Source organism: Homo sapiens, chromosome 12 (genome assembly GCF_000001405.40).
Source record: "Homo sapiens chromosome 12, GRCh38.p14 Primary Assembly".
Classification (NCBI taxonomy): domain Eukaryota; kingdom Metazoa; phylum Chordata; class Mammalia; order Primates; family Hominidae; genus Homo; species Homo sapiens.
Window position 1 is genome coordinate 62,689,658 of NC_000012.12, and position 21,970 is coordinate 62,711,627.

Below are 21,970 nucleotides of genomic sequence, written 5' to 3' on the forward strand. Positions count from 1 at the left end.
GTTTTATTGCACAAAATATAAACAAAAACCTCATGCGGTACCTCTGGAGCTGAAGACAGGAATGGTTTAATGTAGATGTTGGAGTCATGCACCTTCAGGTCATGGTCCCCAAGTCCCCTGGTCACTCCAATAGTTGCCATTACCCGGGCCTAGGAGTATAAGCAGAGGGTCATCAGAAACACGCACACAGTGAAAGCATCCCATTCCAGTGCAGCTGCCTGGGCTAGGAACAACCAAACAATTTTCCAGTTCCTCCTGCCCAGATATGTTTCCAGGCCCCTTGCTGCTAACATACGTGGATAGCTCTTACCAAGAAAGGGCTCACCAAAATCACTTCTGTATTTGAGGAGTGCTTTTTCTATCCATTATCTTAAGCTTGACAGGTTGCTGCTGTTTCTTTTCAGCTTTCTTTTTTTGGAGACTGGAAGGAAGGATGTCCAATAAACTAACTCCAATGCATGCGTGACGTCTACAGCTGCAGAAATCAGTTCATATCAAACCCAATAGGATTGATCGATCCATCCATCCATCCATCCATCCATCCACCCACCCATCCACACACCCACCAATCTTTCTGTTACATATCCACTGTACAAGTATTTGCTCAACACCAGCTATGTCCTTAGTCCTGTGATATGTACTAGTAAAAGGTGTAAAAAATCAGAAATAGCTCTTGCCCTCCCAGAGTTCACCTATTATGTTTTATGGCTGGAGAAAAGAAACTTATCAACTCTATAACCTATCCTGCTAAGATCTCCACAAATTCCCTCTGGGTGGAAAGGAACAAAATGTCACCAGTGCTGTGACATAGCTACACAGAGGCCTCAGGGCTGAGACCTCATCCTGAACTGTTTTTGAATGGTGTAAGGAAGTAACACTATTACACCAATGCCTACACAGTCAGCTTAAATATCTCCTGTTATGCTGAAGATCTGATTTACCCAAACATTTATTGGGTGCCTACTATGTACTTACATCATATGTTGGGGACACAAATGTCTAAGGCCTCGTCCCTACTACAAAGAAACTTGGGGCCACGTGCGGTGGCTCTTGCCTGTAATCCCAGCACTTTGGGAGGCTGAGGCAGGTGGATCACTTGAGGTCAGGAGTTTGAGACCAGCCTGGCTGACATGGTGAAACCCCATCTCTACGAAAAATACAAAATTTAGCTAGGCATGGTGGTGGGCACCTGTAATCCCAGCTGCTTGGAGGCTGAGGCATGAGAATCACTTGAACCTGGAAGGTGGAGGTTGCAGTGAATTGAGATCATGCCACTGCAGTCTAGCCTGGGTGACACAGTGAGACTCAGTCTCAAACCAACAAACAAACAAATAAAAAAACCAAAAAGAAACTTGGTAAGGGAGATAAGAGGGAGATGTGTAATTAATAACACATAAAATATGGTTAAGTACTGAAAAACACATAGACAATGGGTTATGCAAGTTTAGAGGAGGTAAAAATTCTACTGAGAAGGCTCCACGGAGGAGGTGGCACTTAGCACAGAAAGGTGGATTGCATCAAGACAGGCGACACAGAGGGATGGAGTGAAAGTCATCCTGGGTGGAAGAAAGCAGTGTCCTAACCCTTAATCATAAAAAATATATCCGGTGTAGTGAAATGGTTCAAAGACCTGAGCTTGAATCCTCACTCTATTACCTGGGTGATAAGAGTAATTACCTCCTATGAGTGGGGATGAAGTAAATAAATGCTAAGAAACACTGCAATTTAATATATTGTCTTCATCTTCATCCTAGACTGTCAACAGGGCTGTGAATTTTGAAGCCAGCCTTGGTTCGGAAGGTAGGCAGAGTTCACATTAAGCAGAAATGAAACCATGACACCTTTTTGAGGGCAAGGGTCAGAGGGGATAAAGACACGAGACACAGCCAGACACAGTAGCTCACATGTGTAATCCCAGCACTTTGGGAGGCCAAGGCAGGAGGATCACTTGAGCCCAGGAGTTTGAGACTAGCCAGGGCAATGTGGTAAAACCTCCTGACTACAAAAAATACAAAAATTAGCCAGTGTGGTGGCATGCGCCTGTAGTCCCAGCTACTCAGGAGGCTGAAGTGGGAGGATCACCTGATCCTGGGATGTCGAGCCTGAAGTGAGCCGAGATTGTGCCACCGTACTCCAGCCTGATGCCATGTCTCAAAAAAAAAAAAAAAAAGTGATGCAAAGCAAAGCCTGGGGCCCTCTGCCCTGCTGGGAGGCTGGACTGGCTCCCTTCTAGCCAAGAAGTGCTCAACTCTAAATGTGAAAAATTCTGAGTCCCTTGTGGCTCTCCTGCTCTCCTCCCTGAAATGGCGGCTTCTCTGTGTGCTCTTTCCAGCCAAAGAAATCTGATGTTTCTGCTAGTGACTGACCTTGTTTACGAAGTATCCAGGTGTTACCCACACCAGTCTTTAAAAGCATCTGAAGAAAGAAAATGAGAAGTAATGGCCACAGAAGTACTCTGAAATTTCTGCGTAGGGGTACGCGGAGAAGAAAGAGAAAATCCCAGTCCAGGATCTAGAAGGAGCTCCAAGAACTCATGGAGTCCTCAGAAAGGGGTGGTATCTACCAACAAAAGCAAAATGGAGACATGGTGGCTTTTAAATAGGCCAACAGGTACACGGACAGAACTTGCCACCTGCCCATCGCAAGACCATCAAGCTTAAATTACCTGAAATGCTTGAGGAACATGATGTTTTGGTGAATTGAACTTTATACTAAAATTAGAAAACTCTTGCTCCTTCAAATCTTACTGCTATAAACTTCCAAGAATACATCATTCCATTTTCCTATTGTACTAAGGAAAGTATACTGAACATAACTGAACAGCTTATTTAATACTTATGCATTTATGTCAGGTACCAGGCTAGACAGGAACTAGAGATACAGGGGTAACAGAATGTGTTCCTGAGTTTACTGGAACTCACTGGATATTAAAGGGTAATACAGAGAATCTCAGCCCCACAAAGAAATGGAGCTGCAGGCATAGGTCATTGGGCTGAATGATACTCATTAATGGTGCCCATTGTACCAAAAGGCACAAATATTTATATCAGAACAGTGCCTATTAGCCCTGACACGATTCTTAACCAGAGACTGTGATCTGAAAGGTGTTCATTTTCATGAATGGGGTATGTTCGTTTAAAAAATGATTCCTACATGGATCAGATATTTGTGTTTGGTATTCCTCCTTCTGTTGAGATGTCTTTTTGCATTGAAATCACTGCTGGTCTACACGGAGCCCAAAACCTAACCATGTTTGTTCTCTTGCTTTTGCTCTGACACACACACACACACACACACACACACACACTCTGCCCATGGAAGGCATCCTTTGGTTTTCTTCTGAGTCATTTCTTCTTGATAAAAACTATCGTATCGAATGCTGGAAAAATTATCAGTTGAAGACTCTTCTCAATGTGACCACATTTTTCACTTGGAATGCTTCACACCGAGTTGAAATGTATTAGTGTTCCGAGGAAGAATGCAATGATTCAGAAGGTGTTTGTTCTTACTAGGAAATAGATTCCAAGCTTCTTGCTCTCCACTCCAGGATTTCAACCTCCTCCAGGCCTCTGCTCAGAGACCACTTTAGGATCCACAGCTTTTCTTTGGTTCGACAACGTGCTGTTCAGTGCTGGATTCTGACTGGAACCCTGGGAGCTGATGATGGTCTTTGTTATCTTAGTCTGGACTCTGGTTGCTGTGACCTTATAGTCTAATTACAGTGACGCTTTGGACTCTCTTCCATGGGGCAAGTGGCAAACAGACTTGCAAAGTCTGGACTTCCATGGTGGAGTCTGAGACGCGCGAAGCAGACAGAAAGCCAAGGCACCACATCCGCAGCTGCCCCTCGCTTGGCTGCGTGATCTGCCTGAGCTGTTTTAACCTCACAGTCCCAGCTGCCTCGTCTGCCAGATGGATATAACACAGCCAGCTTGACCTGCCTCCTTGCTCGTTGTCAGATATAAATGAGATGATGTGTGTGAAAGTGGTTCATGTTTAAACACTGTAAAAAGTTATTCAAATGGATTGGGAAGGGGGACTTTATTTTCACAAAATTGGCTTGAGTCCCTTGTGCTCACCGCCCACCTCCCACCCCCACTACTCCTTGGACCCTGAAGACAGGAGGCCTGAAGGATGATGGATGGGATATGCTTTCAAGCTGTCAAGGCTATAAAATCACAAGCTGCTGAGTGGAACACACGGACTGCCACGGGCTATGTGGAGCGAAGGCGGGACAGAGCCCTGTCCTCTCTACCCAGGGGAAGCACACGTGCCTACCTTCTTGCCTTCTCCATATATAAGGGGGAACTTCAAGTCCTCATCCTCAATGGTTTTGTATGCCCTGTAGGGGATAAACAACATTTTAAAAAAGGTTTGCACTCAATTAGTGACCTGCTGCCCTGACACCGACTGCTAGGGATTTCATTTTCCCTGAGACCCCATCCACTCACCACACTGACTACCTCTTCCTTTATAGGGAGTTGTTCTCCCTACAGAATTGTGTGTGTGTGTCTTTTACCAAACCAGAAAATACTGTCTTTATATGCTTGAAGAGGGAGGAAATAAGTTGGCATATGCATAATTAGCAAAAAGGGGAGATGGGTTTCTGGCCTTAGGGTCTGTGTAATAATGAAGTGACCCAGCAACAGTATTCTCATCACGAATCCAAAACTGTGAGAAACAGCAGAGCTCAGAGATGAATGGAGTGTGAAACTGCTTCGAGAGCCAGTTCTCACCTTCAGGGGTTGTTTATACCAAAACAGCCTTGTATTGGGATGGCTAGGGAAGAAATCTTTCGAGCCTGTTTGTCCTCTATATAATATGCAAGGTTGGTAAAACATTCTTTGTTTCACAATAGCTTTTAAATAGCCACTCAATACACAGAAAGAACCTTCAGTTTATGCCTCAATGGTTTATTCCAGATAGGGTTCTCCAGTGCCACAGCCTGCACAGCGGAGGCGGGTAAGATGAAAGGGACAGAGCTGATGAAGACCATGTCTTGCAATTTTGCTTATAACCAAGTTAAAAAACAAACAAGCGAACAAACAACTGTTAGCCCAGTTACAGCTGTTTATCACCTTGAGCATGTAGCTTCACCTTTTTCAGTCTCAGTTTCCTCATCTGTACAATGAGGCTAATACACAGGATACAAAGAGCTCAGTACAGAGCCTGCACTTAGTAAGAGCCCACTTAGTGGCAGTTATTACTAATACTTAGTAGATAATTAACACTTACGTGGCATACCGGTTCCCCTTTCTGCAAAATGGGGATAACACTGCTCATAACTTCAAAGTTATTTAAAAGACTAAGTAAAAGATAGGGTAGGTTCTGCTGAATTAGGTGCTATAAGTAGATGCTTTTCTACAACAACATCTCCTGAGTGCATTAAAAATCCTAATTTATTAAATGGCCTGCCATTCCTGGACATATCTAGGCTGCTTGGGAGTGAGTCTGAAATCAAATTTATGGAAGCTCTTGAGGTACAAAAGAATGTAACTAAATTTAAAAAGCATGCAACCCCAAAGTTAAAGCAGGTCCATCCTCAGAAAGTTACATGGTAAGGTGTCCTTCCCATGGGGTGGAGAATCAGTGAGGTTTTGGCACCAGATGTGCCTGAGCTGGAGTTCAGCAATGCCTTTGGTATAGCCCTGCACAAGTAGATGTGCTCTCAGTCCCTCAGGATCCTCATTAATCAATTAGGGCAAAATCTGGGGCTCATTCGTGAGATTATTGCAAAGATTAAAATAGGGAAATGAATGTGGAGAGCTTAGGAGGTACTTAGCACTGTGCCTGGCAAAACAAATGCTGCTGCTGTTGAGTGAGCTGAGAGGTATTCTAGGAATTGAATTTTCAAAAAAGGAAATATACTGTTTCCTTCCCCCAAATCTACCAAACTAACACAAAGTGGAAATAACCACTTTGATGTTTTTACATACTCACATGAGCTATTTTAAACACTGTGGTATATGAGTTTGGGGGGGGAACAAATAAAGCTATTATTAGAAGAATTTGGGTTTTTTAAAGCTTTCCAGGTGATTCCAATGTGCAGCCAAGGTTGAGATCCACTACTATACATCAAGCATCAATTAACTACCATTCAAAATGATTCAGCAATTAGCCCCTTATCAGCTTGACCCTTAAGACAACAGACTACATGGCTCAAGGGAGAGGAGGAAAATGGCCTGAGAAAGGCCCTGAGATGAGCGTGAACAGGGATTGAAGACCCCATGTGGAGAGTGAGGAGACAGGCCCGCACAGAGAGGATGCAGCAGTGGAGACCAGATGTAGAAAGGGGCTGGGCCTTGAGATCCAGGCACAGGAGGAGCCTGGATCTGGTGTAGAAGAGTTGGGTCTATGACTAGACATTCACAGGAATTAAATAGAGCTAGAAGGCTAGAATTAAATAGAGGCAGAAGGCTGCAGCTCTAGAACCAATGACTGGGTATTACCTAGAGCTTAATAGAGACAGGCGAAGAGCACTCTTAACAGGCTTAGAGAAGTAGTAAGAAAACTGCTCTATCACAAGCCGGGTCATTGAATTCTCACATGGCAGAGTGTTGCAGGAGCACGAAGTCCATGTCCCACAACTCTGAAAGACACACACTTAGAGTTGTTACCCACAGGACCAAACCAAATGCAAATTTTAATATTATATGTTAGCTTCTGCTTATCTTCAGGAACAACAAAACATTAGAAATAGAAACAATGGTGGAAAAGGAAGGTTTATTCTGCCCCGCCAGTGTTGGTTTTCAATCAACTATGAGCACTCCCTCTCCCCCAGCAACTAACGACAAGGGGGAATAGCACCAATGAGGAGGAAAAGTACAACACCTTCTCCCCCTCCATCTTTCTGAATCCTAAGCACAGATCATCATATAAAGTTAAGTGGACTTCCATCCATAGTTACAAAGCCTTGAGTAATAAAGTATAAAATATAGTACTCAAGAGTTAAAACTGGCAACTTGATTAGAGTCTGTATAAATTAATAATAGCTAATAGTAATCACAGCAGCTATGATTTACTGAGCATCTTCTACATGCCAGACACCAGGCTCTGTGCTGACTTATAGTATCTAAAATCTCTCAATGGCCTTATAATGTCCTGTCTTACAGAGGAGAGAACTGAGCCCAGAGAGGTTAAGTTACTCCTCCCAGACCAAAAAGGTGGAGTGGCCTTAAAACCGGACTTGGACTTTTCCGGAAAACATGACAAAGAAATGTGATATCAGGACTTAGCTTTGGGAATTTCTCATTCTAGTCCGAGTCTGAAATGAGACCATTATTGTCCACTCTCTTCGGGTGACCAGCTGATATCTGATGAAGAAAAGAAGACTTTTGGCAAAAGAGGAAGGGGAATTTTCTGTGTGAGTGGCAAAAGAACAAAAGGGGTCATGTTTGTACAAAACTAGTGGCTACTACGGTACTGGGTCTACAGAGAAGAAGAGAGGAAAGTCAGCAGAAGTGATGGTCTGTGTTCTTTTTTTTTTTGAGACAGAGTCTCGCTCTGTTGACCAGGCTGGAGTACAATGGTGCGATCTCGGCTCACTGCAACTTCTGCCTCCCAGGTCCAAGCGATTCTCCTGCCTTAGCCTCCCAAGTAGCTGGGATTACAGGTGAGTGCCACCGTGCCCAGCTAATTTTTGTAGAGATACGGTTTCACCATGTTGACCAGGCTGGTCCTGAACTCCTGACCTCAGGTGATCTGCCCACCTCGGCCTCCCAAAATGCTGGGATTGATCCATGTTCTTAGACCTGCAGCTGCTTTTCTGGCCATCTCGCCAGCAATGAGTGACCACAGAGTCAACCAAGCCCCCTCCCACAGAGAACAGACTTTCCTCAAACTGCTCTCAGTTTAAGGAGGCCATCTAAGTTCTGGCCCACTTGGAAGGCCTGTCTGTTTTATATTATAGTCCATGTCAAGGCTATAGGCTTGAATTTATGCTTCCAGCTTGTCCTTGGCTTCCTTCTTTCTCATTTGGGGGAAGATAGGAGAGTGAAGCTTGAGAGCTCCAAGACATGAAGGTACTTTGGATTTGAGATGAATAGAGAGTGTCTAGTCATAGAACCAATTCTTCTACACCACATCCTAAGATTTTTGAAATCCTAATTAAATTTTTAAGAACTAGCGCCCCAAACAAATCACTCGCTAGTTTTACAATAATATGACTGACCAGAGATTATATTATTTGTTACGAGATAGCAAAACTGAAAGGCTTAGGAAAGATTTTCTAGACAAACTCTTATTAATATTTTGGGCCAATTCCTTAATGAGTATTTATGAGGCCAACTGAATCATTTTTTTAGATGAGAAAAAAAATGCAAGGCTTAAAAGGGTTGCTAAATTCTTGGCTTTCCCAAACTGAGAGGCATTATTCTCAGAAGTTTCCATTAAATACTTTTTTAAAGTAATAGTTTCCTTTGTAATGTTGATTGTGCAAAGCTGTAAAAAAAAAAGCCACTGTTGGTTTGGACTTCCTGGAAGGAGCAGTTCAGCAATAAGACTGAAATGCCACCAAGACAGCTGTACCCCAAGTGTAGGAATCCCTTCTACAATACACCTAACCTTGGTTCCTGGCCTCTCCTGAATGGACTGCCACAGAAAGTCACTGTCCTAGGAGTTTAACGGTACTTAATGTCAGCCCATTCCATTGGAGAACAGCTCTGGGAAATTCTTTCTTAAACTGACCCAAACCCGCTGGCCCATCTGGAAAAACATGAAATAAATCCAGACTATTTTCTGCTTGAGAGCTCTTCAATTGTTTAAAGAGAACTATCTCAAAGTTTCCTTTTCCTTAGTTCTTTCAACTGTTCTTCACAGGACCTGGAGGATCCTAACCACTCTAGTCCCCATGCATCCAACAAACAGTAACTGAGCACTGAATACTGTGGTGGTGGCCCTCTAGGGTCTTTCTGGTTGGCCAGTGTCCTCAAAAAATGGTACCCGGAACTGAAAACACTTAAGATGTGGTCCAAATAAGAAAAAAAATTATTACTTCTTTTGATTTGGGCCTTGCATTTTTTAAAAATTAACAAAGCTATTTCCATTATGTGTATTTTTTTTTAGGGTTACATATGGAGACTCTGAATGAAAACAAATGAAAAACCCTAGTCCACAAGAAAAAAGACCTGAGAATGTTTTTTTTGGCTCATGGTCTCCTCTAGTTTATAATGACACACACAATAGATATTTTACCCTGAAGGGAGGACTCCATTGCCCTTATTAATTTTATCTTGTTAGTTTTAGTCCATTGTTCCAACTCACTGACAACTTCCTGAACTCAGATCCTTCCATCCAAAATATCAGCTGTCTATGCTATATCATGTTAAATTTGATAAGCAGCCCTGCCATCTTCATCCACATCACTGAAAAAATTGCTAAGTGGAATCATTAGAGACCTTCCTACTGGCCAAGCTAACCACACAAGGGGGGTGGCAACATTTCAGGCATGTGAAGGAAAGCAATTCAAAAACATCAAATTCAGCAGTATCCTTTTTCATGAAAATGAAGAACCTATCAATTTCCTTTTTATTTTTTATTTTTATTTATTTATTTTTTTGAGATGGAGTTTCACTCTTGTCGCCCAAGCTTAGGTGCAATGGTGCGATCTTGGCTCACTGCAACCTCTACCTCCTGGGTTCAAGTGATTCTCCTGCCTCAGCATCCCGAGTAGCTGGGATTACAGGCGTGCGCCACTACCCCCAGCTAATTTTTTGTATTTTTAGTAGAAACGGGATTTCACCATGTTAGCCAGGCTGGTATTAAACTCCTGACCTCAGGTCATACGCCTGCCTTGGCCTCCCAAAGAGCTGGGATTACAGGCGTAAGCCACTACACCGGGCAATTTCCTTTTCAATACAAAAAACAGATGGTATAAAGCTCGGCAGAATCTTGTCTGGTGGAGAAGCACAGAAGACAGACTCAACAGTAGAGGGTGGACAATGAGATATTAATGTTTAAAGAGGAGGTGTTTAGGATTTAAAAAGGCTGTCAACACTGATCCAGATGGACACTGTCCTCATGGATTTCAACTCTCCTGGAATAGCTCTTGGGCTATCTATGAAGCAACTTAACTGAACCATTATCCACTCAGTATTTCTCCATCTTGTCCAAAAGGCTGAGAGAAGAAACAATCCGATTTCTTACAAACTCAGAATATATCTATGCATACAGTATTCACCCAATCTAGGAACCTTACCCAACAAGAACAGATTACTAATTGAGCCTGCCTTATTGAACCTAAGCTGGCTCTCCTGATCATACCACCTCCAGTGGACGACATTCCTTCAAATCCCTCTTGCTCCTAAGGCACATGAGTGATGCTTATAGTTCCTACATCAACCCCATCCTTCTAGGCTGAGGCTCTCTCACTGCCCTTCTGTCAGTCCCTCCATCTGCCTCATATCCCCCTCCCTTACCCACCAGCCTTTCAGGACATTCTCCCACCTGCCCCGATGACTTCAGCCTAGGTTCAGATTGCTTTTTCACTCTTTCCCAGGATGTCATTCTCAGCATTTTCTTAGAATTTGGTGGTGCTTTTGGATTCCTCGCTTTAAAACTCCTAGCTCACTTCCTGCTGACCTTCTTCTCTGTTCCCCATCATCACCCTGGTCATGTGGCCTGCAGCAAGAACACCCCCCACCTCTGAGATTCCAATTCTGAATCATTTTTCCTCTCTCACTCCCTTGTTGAAGCTCTCAGGCCAGTTTCTCTCCTTGGTCCTGCTATTCTTCCTACCTTATGGCTAAACATGTTCCTGATCCTGTCTCCACCTGTGGCAAAGCTTTTTGATACTTTTCTTTGCTAGAACTTGTCACCTTCTCAATTTTCCAGTAACACAACAAGGATTGAGTATTTTGTCTATTAACATTATGTCAAATACTGTCATCTCTACCTTTCAAACAAATCCAGAATCCTCAGATTTCAACACCTTCCCTGCTGTCAGAGCCCTAGCACCATAGTTTCTTGCCTACATTATTGGGACGGATCCATCAGGCCTCTGTGCAATGATCTAGGCAAGAGGCGATGGTGCTAGGATGATGTCACCAGGTGGATGGCAGTGAGAGTGTTGAAAACTGTTCTGATTTTCCCTTACTCCTGTTCTCAGAGCAACTGGAGTAATTATTTTAGAATGTCAGGTCATGTCATTACCCTACTGAAACCCATCAAAGGTTTTCTATTGCGATCTAAATAAAAGCCAAGTAACCAGATGGTCTTCTTTAACATTGTTCCTGTCCCCCAAATTTCCTAGTCCCCTTTCCTGCTTTATTTTTTTTCCATAGCATCCACCACCACCTAACAGTTAAAGAATTTTACTTCCTTACTATGGTTATTTTTTCTACTGCTTCTTCATGCCCTTTAAGTTCTATGGGGATAGATTTTTGTTTTGCTACCTATGGCATCTCCTATACCTACAAGAGTGCTCAACATATAATGGGTACCCAATAAATATTTGGTTAAGCAAGCAAATTAATACTACCTTCCCTATGCAGAGGCTTTATTCGTATTTTCTTGTTCCATAATATATTTGCAAAACAAAAGCAAAGAGTCTCCTTGTTCGGCTGCTTTCTATGTCTGACTATGCTGTTCCGGCTGATGCTCACTCACAAGCACCCCTTTCCCACCTTTGCCCTAGTGGGCTAGGTGCTGTCCTTACAGGCTCAGACATTCTCTATGAACATCTGAATTTGAGATGCCCATGCAGCCACACCGAAGCCCTTTTACCCTAATGAGCAGCAGTTATAGGACTTCTCCACCATAAACATACTTTGTCTTTGTGGCAATTTTATACATCCCTTCAGTAAAGCTTTGCTCACACTGTCCTCATAGCTGGGAGGCCTGCTAGCAAATCTCCCACATTTCTCTTTTAATCCACAAGCATCACTCTCCACCTTAAAGTTCTCCACTGAATTCCCGTCATCTTAAAATACAATCCAATGATGAGGCCCTCCATGATCTGGCCTTTGCACTCTGACATCGTCGATCACTCTGCTACGCCTTGTAACAATGGCTTTCTTGTTTGTTTGTTTTTTTTTTTTGACACACCAGGGGGCCTGGTCATTCCTTCTGTCTGGGCCATTCTTCCCTTTGATCCTGCCATGCTGGCTCCTGGACATCACTTGGAAAGGCCTCCCCTGACCACTCATCTACAAGTCTGGCGTTCTCTGCTCCTGCTCATCCTGCTTCAGTGCTTCAAGCACAATCTGAAATGCTCTTATTAATTTGTTTACCTTCTGTCCCAACATCCTGCACATTAACTCCATAAAGGCACAGACTTTCTTCCTATTTACCTGTCTATCTTTGTATCTACAATTGTGCAAGCACATGGTAGACATAAAGTAGACACAAGCTAAATGGATGAATGAATGAACAAAGGCTGGTATCTCTCCCTTAGCATGTCAGTTTCCCTCTAAAGATATCCCCCATTCACTCTGCCTTAATAGCTAGCTTTTCTATGGCTAATATTCATGGCTGGGTTCCCATTGGTGATACCTCTGACATATGTTTACCTACTTATATTAAAATTTCAAGTTCCCCTTTATTATTAGTATATATACAAATAGTTATAAAATCATAAAAAATAACATTTATGATTCTCTCGTCTATTCCTTTCTCAGTTCCTTAGTACCACGTCAGAATGGCAGTTTTTTTGCCACAGCTATTCACCAGTGTATATGGTGTTACCAAGACAATTTTCTAACTTGGTTTAAAGGCAAGTTCCTCCTTTAAAGTTCTTCCTAGTCTTTGCTGGATTCCTCCATTTCCAGGAAGAGCCCCTACTCTGATTGCTTAACCCATGGGCCAGGAACCTAGAGTTCACACTTTGGCATCATCAACATAAATCACTTCCCACGATCTCCCTTCTCTTCTAAGTCATGACCTTGAGCTACAGAGAGAGAGAGAGAGAGAGAGAGAGAGAGAGAGAGAAATACCACTTGTTTCCCTAAGTCTTAATTCCCTTAGCAAGACTTCAAAGTCATTTAAGAGGAACGAGAGGAACGTGATCCCCTCCGGGGGGTATAACAGGGGACCCTATTATGCTCCCTTCGGGGACAGCATAATCTCAACAATTCACTTGTGCAGCTCCAATGACACACACCAGTGAGTCACATTCTTCCACTAATCTCTAGACATTGCCTTGGCTGCCTCTTCTCCCCTGGGGATCTTCCTTCCTGGAGTCTCTCTTCCCTCCTGGCAGAGCCCACTGTGGTATTAAAGCACACCAGGCTTGGGGTCAGAGGTTCTGAAGTCACATCTCAATCGTCATGTGAACTGGCTGTATGAACCTGGGAAAATCCCTCAGACCTCACTGAATCTGCCTCTTCAACTGGACACTTCATAGGATGGTTGCAAGGATTAAGGGCAAACATGTCTGGGAACATCCTTTGTGAAGGATAAGGTGCTATTTGGCCATCAGTTGTGGCTATTAAGGTCTTCGGAGCCTCATTCTTTCTTCCATGCAGATGTAGAGCTAACAGGCAACCGTAAGCAGGAAGACACAGCACATCCCCGTAGGAAAAACCACTTCCTGCTGAGCAATCAAGCCACCTAATTCATACTTTTTCTACTGTAAGCATGAAGGAGCATACCCGTGCAACTTTATCCAGAACAGTCCATTGTTCTCCTCTAAAATGAGGACTCAGATACTCAGAAGGATGCCTCAGAGATAATAATCTAAAGAAGGTATAGCTGGGTTAGATTGAAATAGTCATAAAAGGAGCCCTTTTTTTTTTTTTTTTTCCTTAGCTGGGAGCTCAGTGCCCCTCCAGGAGGGAGGAGAAAGCCACAGGCAGCCTTGTTTTCTTCTCATTAGAAACCAAGTCCTAGCCCGGCAGAGGCACATTCCACAGGGGCTGGTTGGGTTTGGGAGGAGGCCGGAGCACAGAAACATCTTCGGTCCCCCTTCTTGCCTTTCTATAACAAAATCTCAGCAGTAGCTTAAATCTCAGGAGGCCTGGGATGAAACACCACCCAGGCCTGGCTGGACAGGAACAGACATAAGCCTGGAGCCCAAATGCTACTTGTGGCTTTTAAGAGCTTGGCATGACCCCAGTTAAGCAATTCTGGAATCCACAGAGGCTCTCCCTTGACTCCCCTCTCCCCACACCCACTCTCCTGAGACCTTCCTGCAAAAAGCAATGCAGGATTGGCAACCACCTCGTGCTTCCTTTTTTTCTGCCAGCCATCTGTATTTCCAAAGGAATCAGGCCCCAAGTCTAACCACAGTGCTCAGTAAATGGAGGCTGCTTTCTGAACCTTCAAGCGGCCTTACAGCAGGCAGCCAGCTCTTCCCCCCTCACTACATGAAAGAGAGAGAAAGCGTGTGTGTGTGTGTGTGTGTGTGTGTGTGTGTGTGTGTGTCCTTTAAGGCAACACAAGAAGAGTCTGATGTTTGGTTAGATCTTACTATTATATTTTAAATGTCATCTTTTAGAGTCTTTTTTTCCCGGTTTCTAAGATTCACTTTGCCTTTGGATGGAAACTGTCTGCTGGAAAGACAGAGCTGCACTGTGAAGGAGAGTGAATCTGAGGCATGCTTAACAACAGCAGGCTCAAGTCAGGGTTGTGGAGCAAGGATCAGTCCCCAGGGTGAGTCTGAAGAGGCTGCGAAACACCCTCTATCCAGCTGGGAGTTTTGGGGCTTAGAATGTTTGGAGATGGACCCAACATCTCGCCCCAGGCTCATCATTGTATAGCAGGCTTTAAGTATGTATAAATCTAGTTTTGGGGGTCATATTTTGGCTCATTGGGTTCCTGAATTTATGTGTTGGAAGATATTTTCAGTAGGTATCTGAATGATATGATCCCTGGGAAAGTTACCCTGTGGGATGGAAGCTCTCCAAACAAATGCTACCTTGTTTTCTTTCTTTGGTCCTTGGAGTGTTCTTTAAATTAGTTGAAGCCTATAGGCCTTAAGCTGTGAACAACCTGATAGACTTCTGCTAATATAGTGCAAGTTAGATTCAGGCACAAATAGTACCTTTGAATTGTGAGTGTGATTAATATTTGGTGATAAACAGAAGAGGGCTGGTAGCAGCCTAGCTTGTGCATACCTGGCTACCACCTGCTCATCTCCTTAGCCACAAGAAAGGCTGCTGGCTTTTTTTCCTCCATGAAAACTCTCCATAATGGGGCCCAAGCTCTGGTCCCCGACAATGCAGCTGCCCTGGAGGAAATCACCTGATTGGTAGGTTTAACCAACAGTCCCTAGGAAAATGCCTACCTCCCCACTTCTCCCTATCAGCACGCCTGAGCCAGACCCTGCCTGGAGTTCTGAGAGTAGTAAACATTTCTCTCTTTTGGCCTAAAGATTCTTCTTCTCACCAGGCCTATGGAAAATAGCAAGAGGCAACAGAGATTGCTCTCATTTTGCTGGTCAATGTTCTTTGGGAGACTCTACTGGGTTACAGCAGAGGTTTCACCGGTGGTAAGAAATATATCAATCCTGTTAACCCAACATATGCACAAACACACGGCAAAAAACAATATTTACCCTAACTATGTGATATACACCGATATTTTCTTTCTATCCTGTGCTATTCAATTTGTTTAAAATGCTGCTCTCCATATACTAAACTGATTTCACAATCCTGTGAATGGGTCCCTACCCACAGCTCAAAGTTTGGTAGAAGAACAGAACCTGCTCTAAGTAGCTTCCAAATTAGGAGCTCAGGCTTTGACCAGATAAAAACAATGGGTTCTATTGGATTCATTTGCAAGTATTTACTGAGCACCTAGTAGGTGCCGGGCACTGGCACAGGTGCTGGGTATACGGAGTAGAATAAAGTAAACAAAGTGAAAGTCACCTTTTGATTCGTAGGCTGAGTTCAGCAGCAGAAAAGGATGCACTTGGAAAAAAATCAGTATTTTTAAAAAAAGTAATCATGTGTATGTATAAAACAGAACTAATAATATTTCAGGATAAAACATTATGAATGACTCTTAAGGAAATTCCAGATTTGGAAATTATTTCTGATTCAGTATCCACTTGGTGTGCATTCACACTTGGCCGTAACAGCTTCATATTCTAATCAATAACATTTAGCTCTCTCCACCGATATGAATCAGAGACCCTTACTTCATGAGCACACAAATGTGAAGTGATTTCAGCTTTCTCAGAGACCATTTATTCTGAAATAAACATGAATTTCATTGACATTCCCTTTATACTGTATGAGATCAAGTCAATATATACAAATCAGGATATGAACAAAATGGACCCCATAGCTACAAATGGTGGGGTGAAAATAGCAAACAGATTATTAATTACAAAGAGGGTTTCTGCTGCACAGGCAGTTCCTCTGTGTCGGCCCTTGCGGCTTTCCCTCACGAAGCTTCTCCCACTCTGCTCAGATGGATATTCATATCATGGAGCAGAGTCCTGCAGTGTCCCCTGGGAGAAGCCACATGCAGGGACTTTAACCTATGCTACATCATTTCAAGGCTTTCCACCCAAGTGCCTTTGAACTGATAACATTACACGGTGCAGATCTCAAGTATCAGTGCTTTGAGTCTTCTGTTTTATCTTTAAAAACCATGAGAGTTTTGCACAAGCCTACAAATGAAGTCCTTCTACCTCACTCCCAAAATTTTCAGGTGAAATAGAGGCTTATCTTGTAGCTTCCCATACTCTTCTGAAATCTTCTACTAACCCCCATATTATTCAGGCCGCCAAGGCAAGAAGCGCAGGCCTGAGTAACAGCTGTCGATATTTACCAAAGGGAGGAATACCACACTCTTAGCTCCTGCATCCAGGTGGCCCTGTTGTTTCAGAGGATGGAGAGCAAAGGCAGCCATTGTTAAATTTTCTGCTGTCACCTCACGCCCAGCAGTTAACGGATTTTCACATACCCCAATGTTTATTATGCAATCTTTTTGTTCCAGGCACTAAGGATTTATATTTTTAAAAACTTACATAATCCTCACTGTAACACTGTAAGCTAGATAGAAACATTATCCTCATTACACAAATAAGAAAATGGAGGCATAAGAGAGGTCATATATCTGGGAGGAAATAGGGGTCAAGCTCACTTCAGGTCTGTCCCAACAGTTACACTCTTAACCACGCTTCTCTGTGCCTCTGTGAAGAGCTAGGAATCTGCATAAATGCCACAAAATGGCATGAGATGCAAAAGAATGTTTAATTATTAATTCTCTTCCTAAAATTAAATTGTAAAAAAAAAATTTAAGCTCATCTTCACATTCTAGGTTTTTATAATGGTCAGTCGCATAGAAGTTAAAACATACCAGTACTCCTAGGGTTGAAAACTAGGGTTGTCTCTTAACAATACTGCAGATGTACAAGATCACTATAGAATTAGATTTAACCTGAGCTTTGACGTTCAAAGTGCTCAGGTGCAATAAACTCAGACTCCAAATTTTCATACCTAGGTGCCCAGTTTTCTATAGGGTGATCCAATGTGACCCAGAGGATCAGGCCTTGGAGATGGGGTGTGTAGCATTTACTGAAGATGAGCAGGAATCAGAAACCATTAAGTTAAATGCCCTGGGCAGCATGGTCTCCTGACCTATCCCATGTATTTATACTATGTGTGAAGCCTGGACTATCCAGGTTATGGGCACAAAAAGGAAAAAGAGGAGGCCTAATTTGACCCTGACCCACCGTTGCACCTGAAGGCTTTACCATCCCTTATCAGCCACTGCCAGTCCAGTCTACTGGCACCTTATGAACAGTCACTGGCTCACTGCAGGTGGACAAAGACATTCCCAAGCAATAGCAAGGGGATAACCAGGGGCAAAGACCACCAGCAGCCCAGGAGTCACAATACTTTGACAGCCCAGGCTGCCCAGCGCTCTTTAACCGACCACTTCTGCAAACTGTTATTCATATCCATTGTAACAAACTCTAGGGCTGCCCAAAGTCAATGTTTAAGGATATACAGCAATCGCCTGGGGTGCTTATTAAAAAATGCAGAATCCATAGAGATTCTAATTCAGCAGATAAAATAGACCCTGAAATGTTTTCAGTAATTGCCCCAGATGACAAAGCTTCAATGTAGGTAAACCTTTGTCTATTAGTTTTGTATGAAACTGTAATCATCCATATATGGCCCTGTCCTGACACTAGACTGTAAACACCATGAGGGTTGGCACTGTTTTTTTCTGCTTTGTATCTTCAATGCCCAACCTAATACCTGGTTCACTTAATGAATAGTAGTTGAAACTGATTGTCCCACAGAGATGAAGCTCTGTGCCTTGTCCTTTAGGTACAGAGAGTGATACATAGCATCTGATCTACCCTGGAAGACTGACAAGGCTGATCCCATCTCAGCAGAATCTGAACCTGGAATATGGCAGAATACTACAGCTTTTGCCAGAGCAACCAGGTGAAGAACAAAAAGTGAATGTGTTCCATCCCCTCATGAGGCTTCTGAAGCTTTCCTTATGATCTGATTACAACAAAGGAGAGAGGCAACTGACAACACACTAGTTCTGAAACACCGCTGGCATCTTTGTTATCAGCCTTCCTGGCTCTTACAGAGAGATCTGCTTTCAGCTCTCCAGCAAGGAACAGACACAAAACTTTAGCCTCTCTCTTAATAAGTCCTTGATTTACTTGTCTGAAGGTAAGAGGACGGTGGTGGTAGGATGAGATTTTTCAGGGTTTGGAGTGGTGGCTCTCCAGCTCTTGTGTGTGGATTACTAGGGTAAGCCCAGAAGCAAGGAGTTTGAAACCATCACCACAGCTGATTTAGATGAAGAGGCCCCCAGGCCACCGCAGGTGACCATCTTCATAGGATTATCAGCTCGAAACCAGCTGTGCCAATTTCCTGCTGGGAAACCTGGAGAGCTGGGAAAAGCAGAAAATTTATCAAGCTCTGGTAAGAGTGAACTAATTGTAACTGAAAGAGTGTTGGTTGGACACAGGAAAATGTTTCCTTGGTGGGTTTGTGAGTACCTGGAAAATTTCAGGAGTGGTAGTGTACCTACTTCTCTGGAATTTCCTTAGAAATGGGATCCTAAAAATAGGCTGAGAATTAGCCCATAGGTCCTTTTCTTTTTTCTTAAATCATCTTCTAAGTCACTGATAAAAATTGTATTTTTATTCATTTATTATTTATTTTGGATTCAGGAGGTACATGGGCAGCTTTGTTACACTGGTATATTGTGTGATGCTAAGGTTTGAGGTACAAATGGTCCCATCACCCAAGTGTCAGCACAGTACCCAATAGGTAGTTTTTCAGCTCACACCCCCTCCCTCTTCTCCTAGTAGTCCCCTATATGTCCTGGATATACATATTGTCAGCTCTATATTTCTGCCTTGTGTGTAATTTTCATACGTCATATTCCACCCTTAAGGTGTGGAGCTCTTAAGGGTGGGAAAATAAAATTCTGTTCATTATTGGCATCCTTAGCCTGGCATTCAAAGTTCCCCATGAGCTGACTCCAATGTAATTACCTAGTTTCATGGTTTGCTTCACTGCCCACCACTGCTCTACACCCTCTTGCTCCCTCTGACATGTCACTTATGTGAGCCTCCCGGGACTGTTATCTAGCTGATACACACCAATATAACTGCACACGAAGGGCTAAAACATTGAAACGTTCCATGCTAGTCAGCAAACAATGGCTGTCTCAGTCTCCATGAATGCCCCCATCTGCTGCTCTGGACTCTCCCCTAGAATCCCCAAGAGGTAACAGTAAATAAAGGGTTAATGCCTGGCACAGCAGGGAGGCTTCTAGGACCCTGCTGCAGCCCAGCTGGGGCCTACTTGTCCATTTTGATTGTCCAAATATTTTGAATATTATCTCTGGCTTCCAAATTCCCAAAACACACATCACATTTTCACTCCTCTGGGCTTCTGCTGGCACAGTGCCCTTTGCTCCGAATGTCCTTCTCTCCAAACTTCTTGAAACCCCTCTCGTAATCCAGATCTTTGGTTCAAACAATCTTCTCCAGGAAGTCCTCCCCAATCCCAATCTCCCCTCTCAAAACAACTACTCCCTCCACCACAGCCACAGGCATTTTCTTCAAACCTTTTTGTATAACTCTTATCTTTTGTCTTGCTTTAGTTATTTATACATATGTCCCAACAGATCTACTTCCCCCACTGTGGAAGTTTGAAGAATAGGTTTAAAGGTGAAATGATATTGTTCAATAAATTTCCAGAAAGGCCGGGCGTGGTGGCTCACGACTGTAATCCTAGCACTTTGGGAGGCTGAGGCGGGCGGATCACCTGAGGTTGGGAGTTCACAACCAGCCTGACCAACATGGAGAAACCCCATCTCTACTAAAAATACAAAATTAGCTGGGCGTGGTGGCACATGCCTGTAATCCCAGCTACTCGGGAGGCCGAGGCAGGAGAATCGCTTGAACCCAGGAAGCGGAGGTTGCAGTGAGCCGAGATCACGCCATTCATTGCACTCCAGCCTGGGCAACAAGAGTGAAACTCCGTCTCAAAAAAAAAAGCCAGTCTTGGGCCACGTGGCAATCTCTTTAAAGCTAACATAGTCCTATATGATGAAATCCTTCCTACGCAAGGACATGCTTTAACCACAGATGGGCTTGACCCTCCCAGCTTCTTGGGTATGGTTTGGAAGACTACAGGAGTACATTAAAAGGTCCAGCATCAGCTGAGTGCAGTGTGGCTCACACCTGTAATCCCAGCACTTTGGGAGGCTGAGGTGGGCAGATTACTTGAGCTCAGGAGTTCCAGACCAGCCAGGCCAACATGGTGAAACCTTGTCTCTACTAAAAATACAAAAATTAGCCCAGCATGTTGGTGCACGCCTTTAATCCCAGCTACTCAGGAGGCTGAGGCATCAAAATCGCTTGAATCTGGGAGGCGGAGGTTGCAGTGGGCTGAGATCACACCACTGCACTCCAGCCTGGGCAACAGAGTGGAGTGAGACTGTCTCTTTAAAAAAAAAAAAAAAAAAGTCCCCAAACCAAAAAACATCCTATCAAATAGTGCCTGGGACAGAGGGGCTGGCAACGGGCTTCCTGGCTGTAGTGATGGTGTCTCTTCTGACAGACAAGAGCTCTACGTTTTCTGTGTCAAACCCATCTTCATCTGCCATGCTGCAGGACAGACCTGCTAGGCAGAGGCAGCCAGCAGACCTGATCTGACTTTAGTTTCTTCTCGAAACTGCCTTCCTTTGTCTTTTTGTTTTCTAGCTTCTCATTACCTTGCAGAGGCAGCATTTCAGCAACAGACTGTAGACCTCCTGAGGCCAGCAGCAGCTCTTGCTGACCCTTTCACTCTCCATAATAGCTAATGATTATAGTATTAGAAACTCATCACGCGCTATTATATGCCAGGCTTTGTTCAATGCACTCAACCTTACTAACCCATAATATCCCAACTATTATCAAGTACTGTTTTGTTTGTTTGAGATAGGATCTTGTTCTTTTGCCCAGGCTGGAGTGCAGTGGTATCATCACAGCTCATTGCAGCCTTGACTTCCTGGGCTCAAGTGTTCTGCCCACCTCAGGCTCCCAGGTAGCTGGGACTATAGGCACGTGCCAACACACCCAGAACATTTTTGTATTTTTTATAGAAACAGGGTCTCCCCATGTTGCCCAGGCTGGTCTTGAACTCATGGCCTCAAAGGATCCACCCGCTTCAGCCTCCCAAAGTGTTGGGATTACAGGCGTGAGCCACTACACCTGGCCTCAAGTACCATTATTAGCTTCATTTTACAAATGGGGAAACCAAGGCTGACAGTGGCAAAATGATCTGTGGTGGGGATTGGCCCAGCTAGGCAGTCTGGCTCCAGCATCCTTGCTCTTAACTGCTACTCAACATCTACTGTGTAGTAGGTGTACAATACAAGCCTGTCAAATAGATGGTAAGTGTCTACAGGGCCTTCTTGGTTAAAAGGACACTACTTTAAGAGAGATTTTTATAAGCACTTGACATCCCCAAACTTCCCCAGATGACTTGCAGCTATGTTCTTATCACATACATACTGTACAACCCCAAACACCAGTCACAGGGGAAGCGCCGTG

The 21,970-nt window shown here is 43.7% G+C and overlaps 1 protein-coding gene across 3 annotated transcripts in view, besides 2 other annotated features; it reads right to left on the reverse strand.

The window, feature by feature from the left end:
* The window catches only part of PPM1H (protein phosphatase, Mg2+/Mn2+ dependent 1H), a 291,157-nt gene that overhangs the window by 45,664 nt on the left and 223,523 nt on the right, over positions 1–21,970 (reverse strand). For all 3 annotated transcript variants that reach the window (NM_020700.2, XM_011538578.3, XM_017019676.3), the window contains exons 7-8: positions 4,279–4,342; positions 42–149 (exon numbers count right to left, since the gene is read on the reverse strand). In NM_020700.2, the coding sequence (NP_065751.1) occupies positions 42–149; positions 4,279–4,342 (172 nt within the window). The remainder of the gene's footprint in view (positions 1–41; positions 150–4,278; positions 4,343–21,970) is intronic.
* Positions 12,348–12,951: an enhancer, noted in NCBI's record as "H3K27ac-H3K4me1 hESC enhancer chr12:63095785-63096388 (GRCh37/hg19 assembly coordinates)". NCBI's record gives its function as "activates a minimal SCP1, AML or CMV promoter by ChIP-STARR-seq in naive H9 embryonic stem cells {active_cell/tissue: H9 hESC(naive)}" and the evidence as "EXISTENCE:reporter gene assay evidence [ECO:0000049][PMID:30033119]".
* Positions 14,160–14,761: an enhancer, noted in NCBI's record as "H3K27ac hESC enhancer chr12:63097597-63098198 (GRCh37/hg19 assembly coordinates)". NCBI's record gives its function as "activates a minimal SCP1, AML or CMV promoter by ChIP-STARR-seq in primed H9 embryonic stem cells {active_cell/tissue: H9 hESC(primed)}" and the evidence as "EXISTENCE:reporter gene assay evidence [ECO:0000049][PMID:30033119]".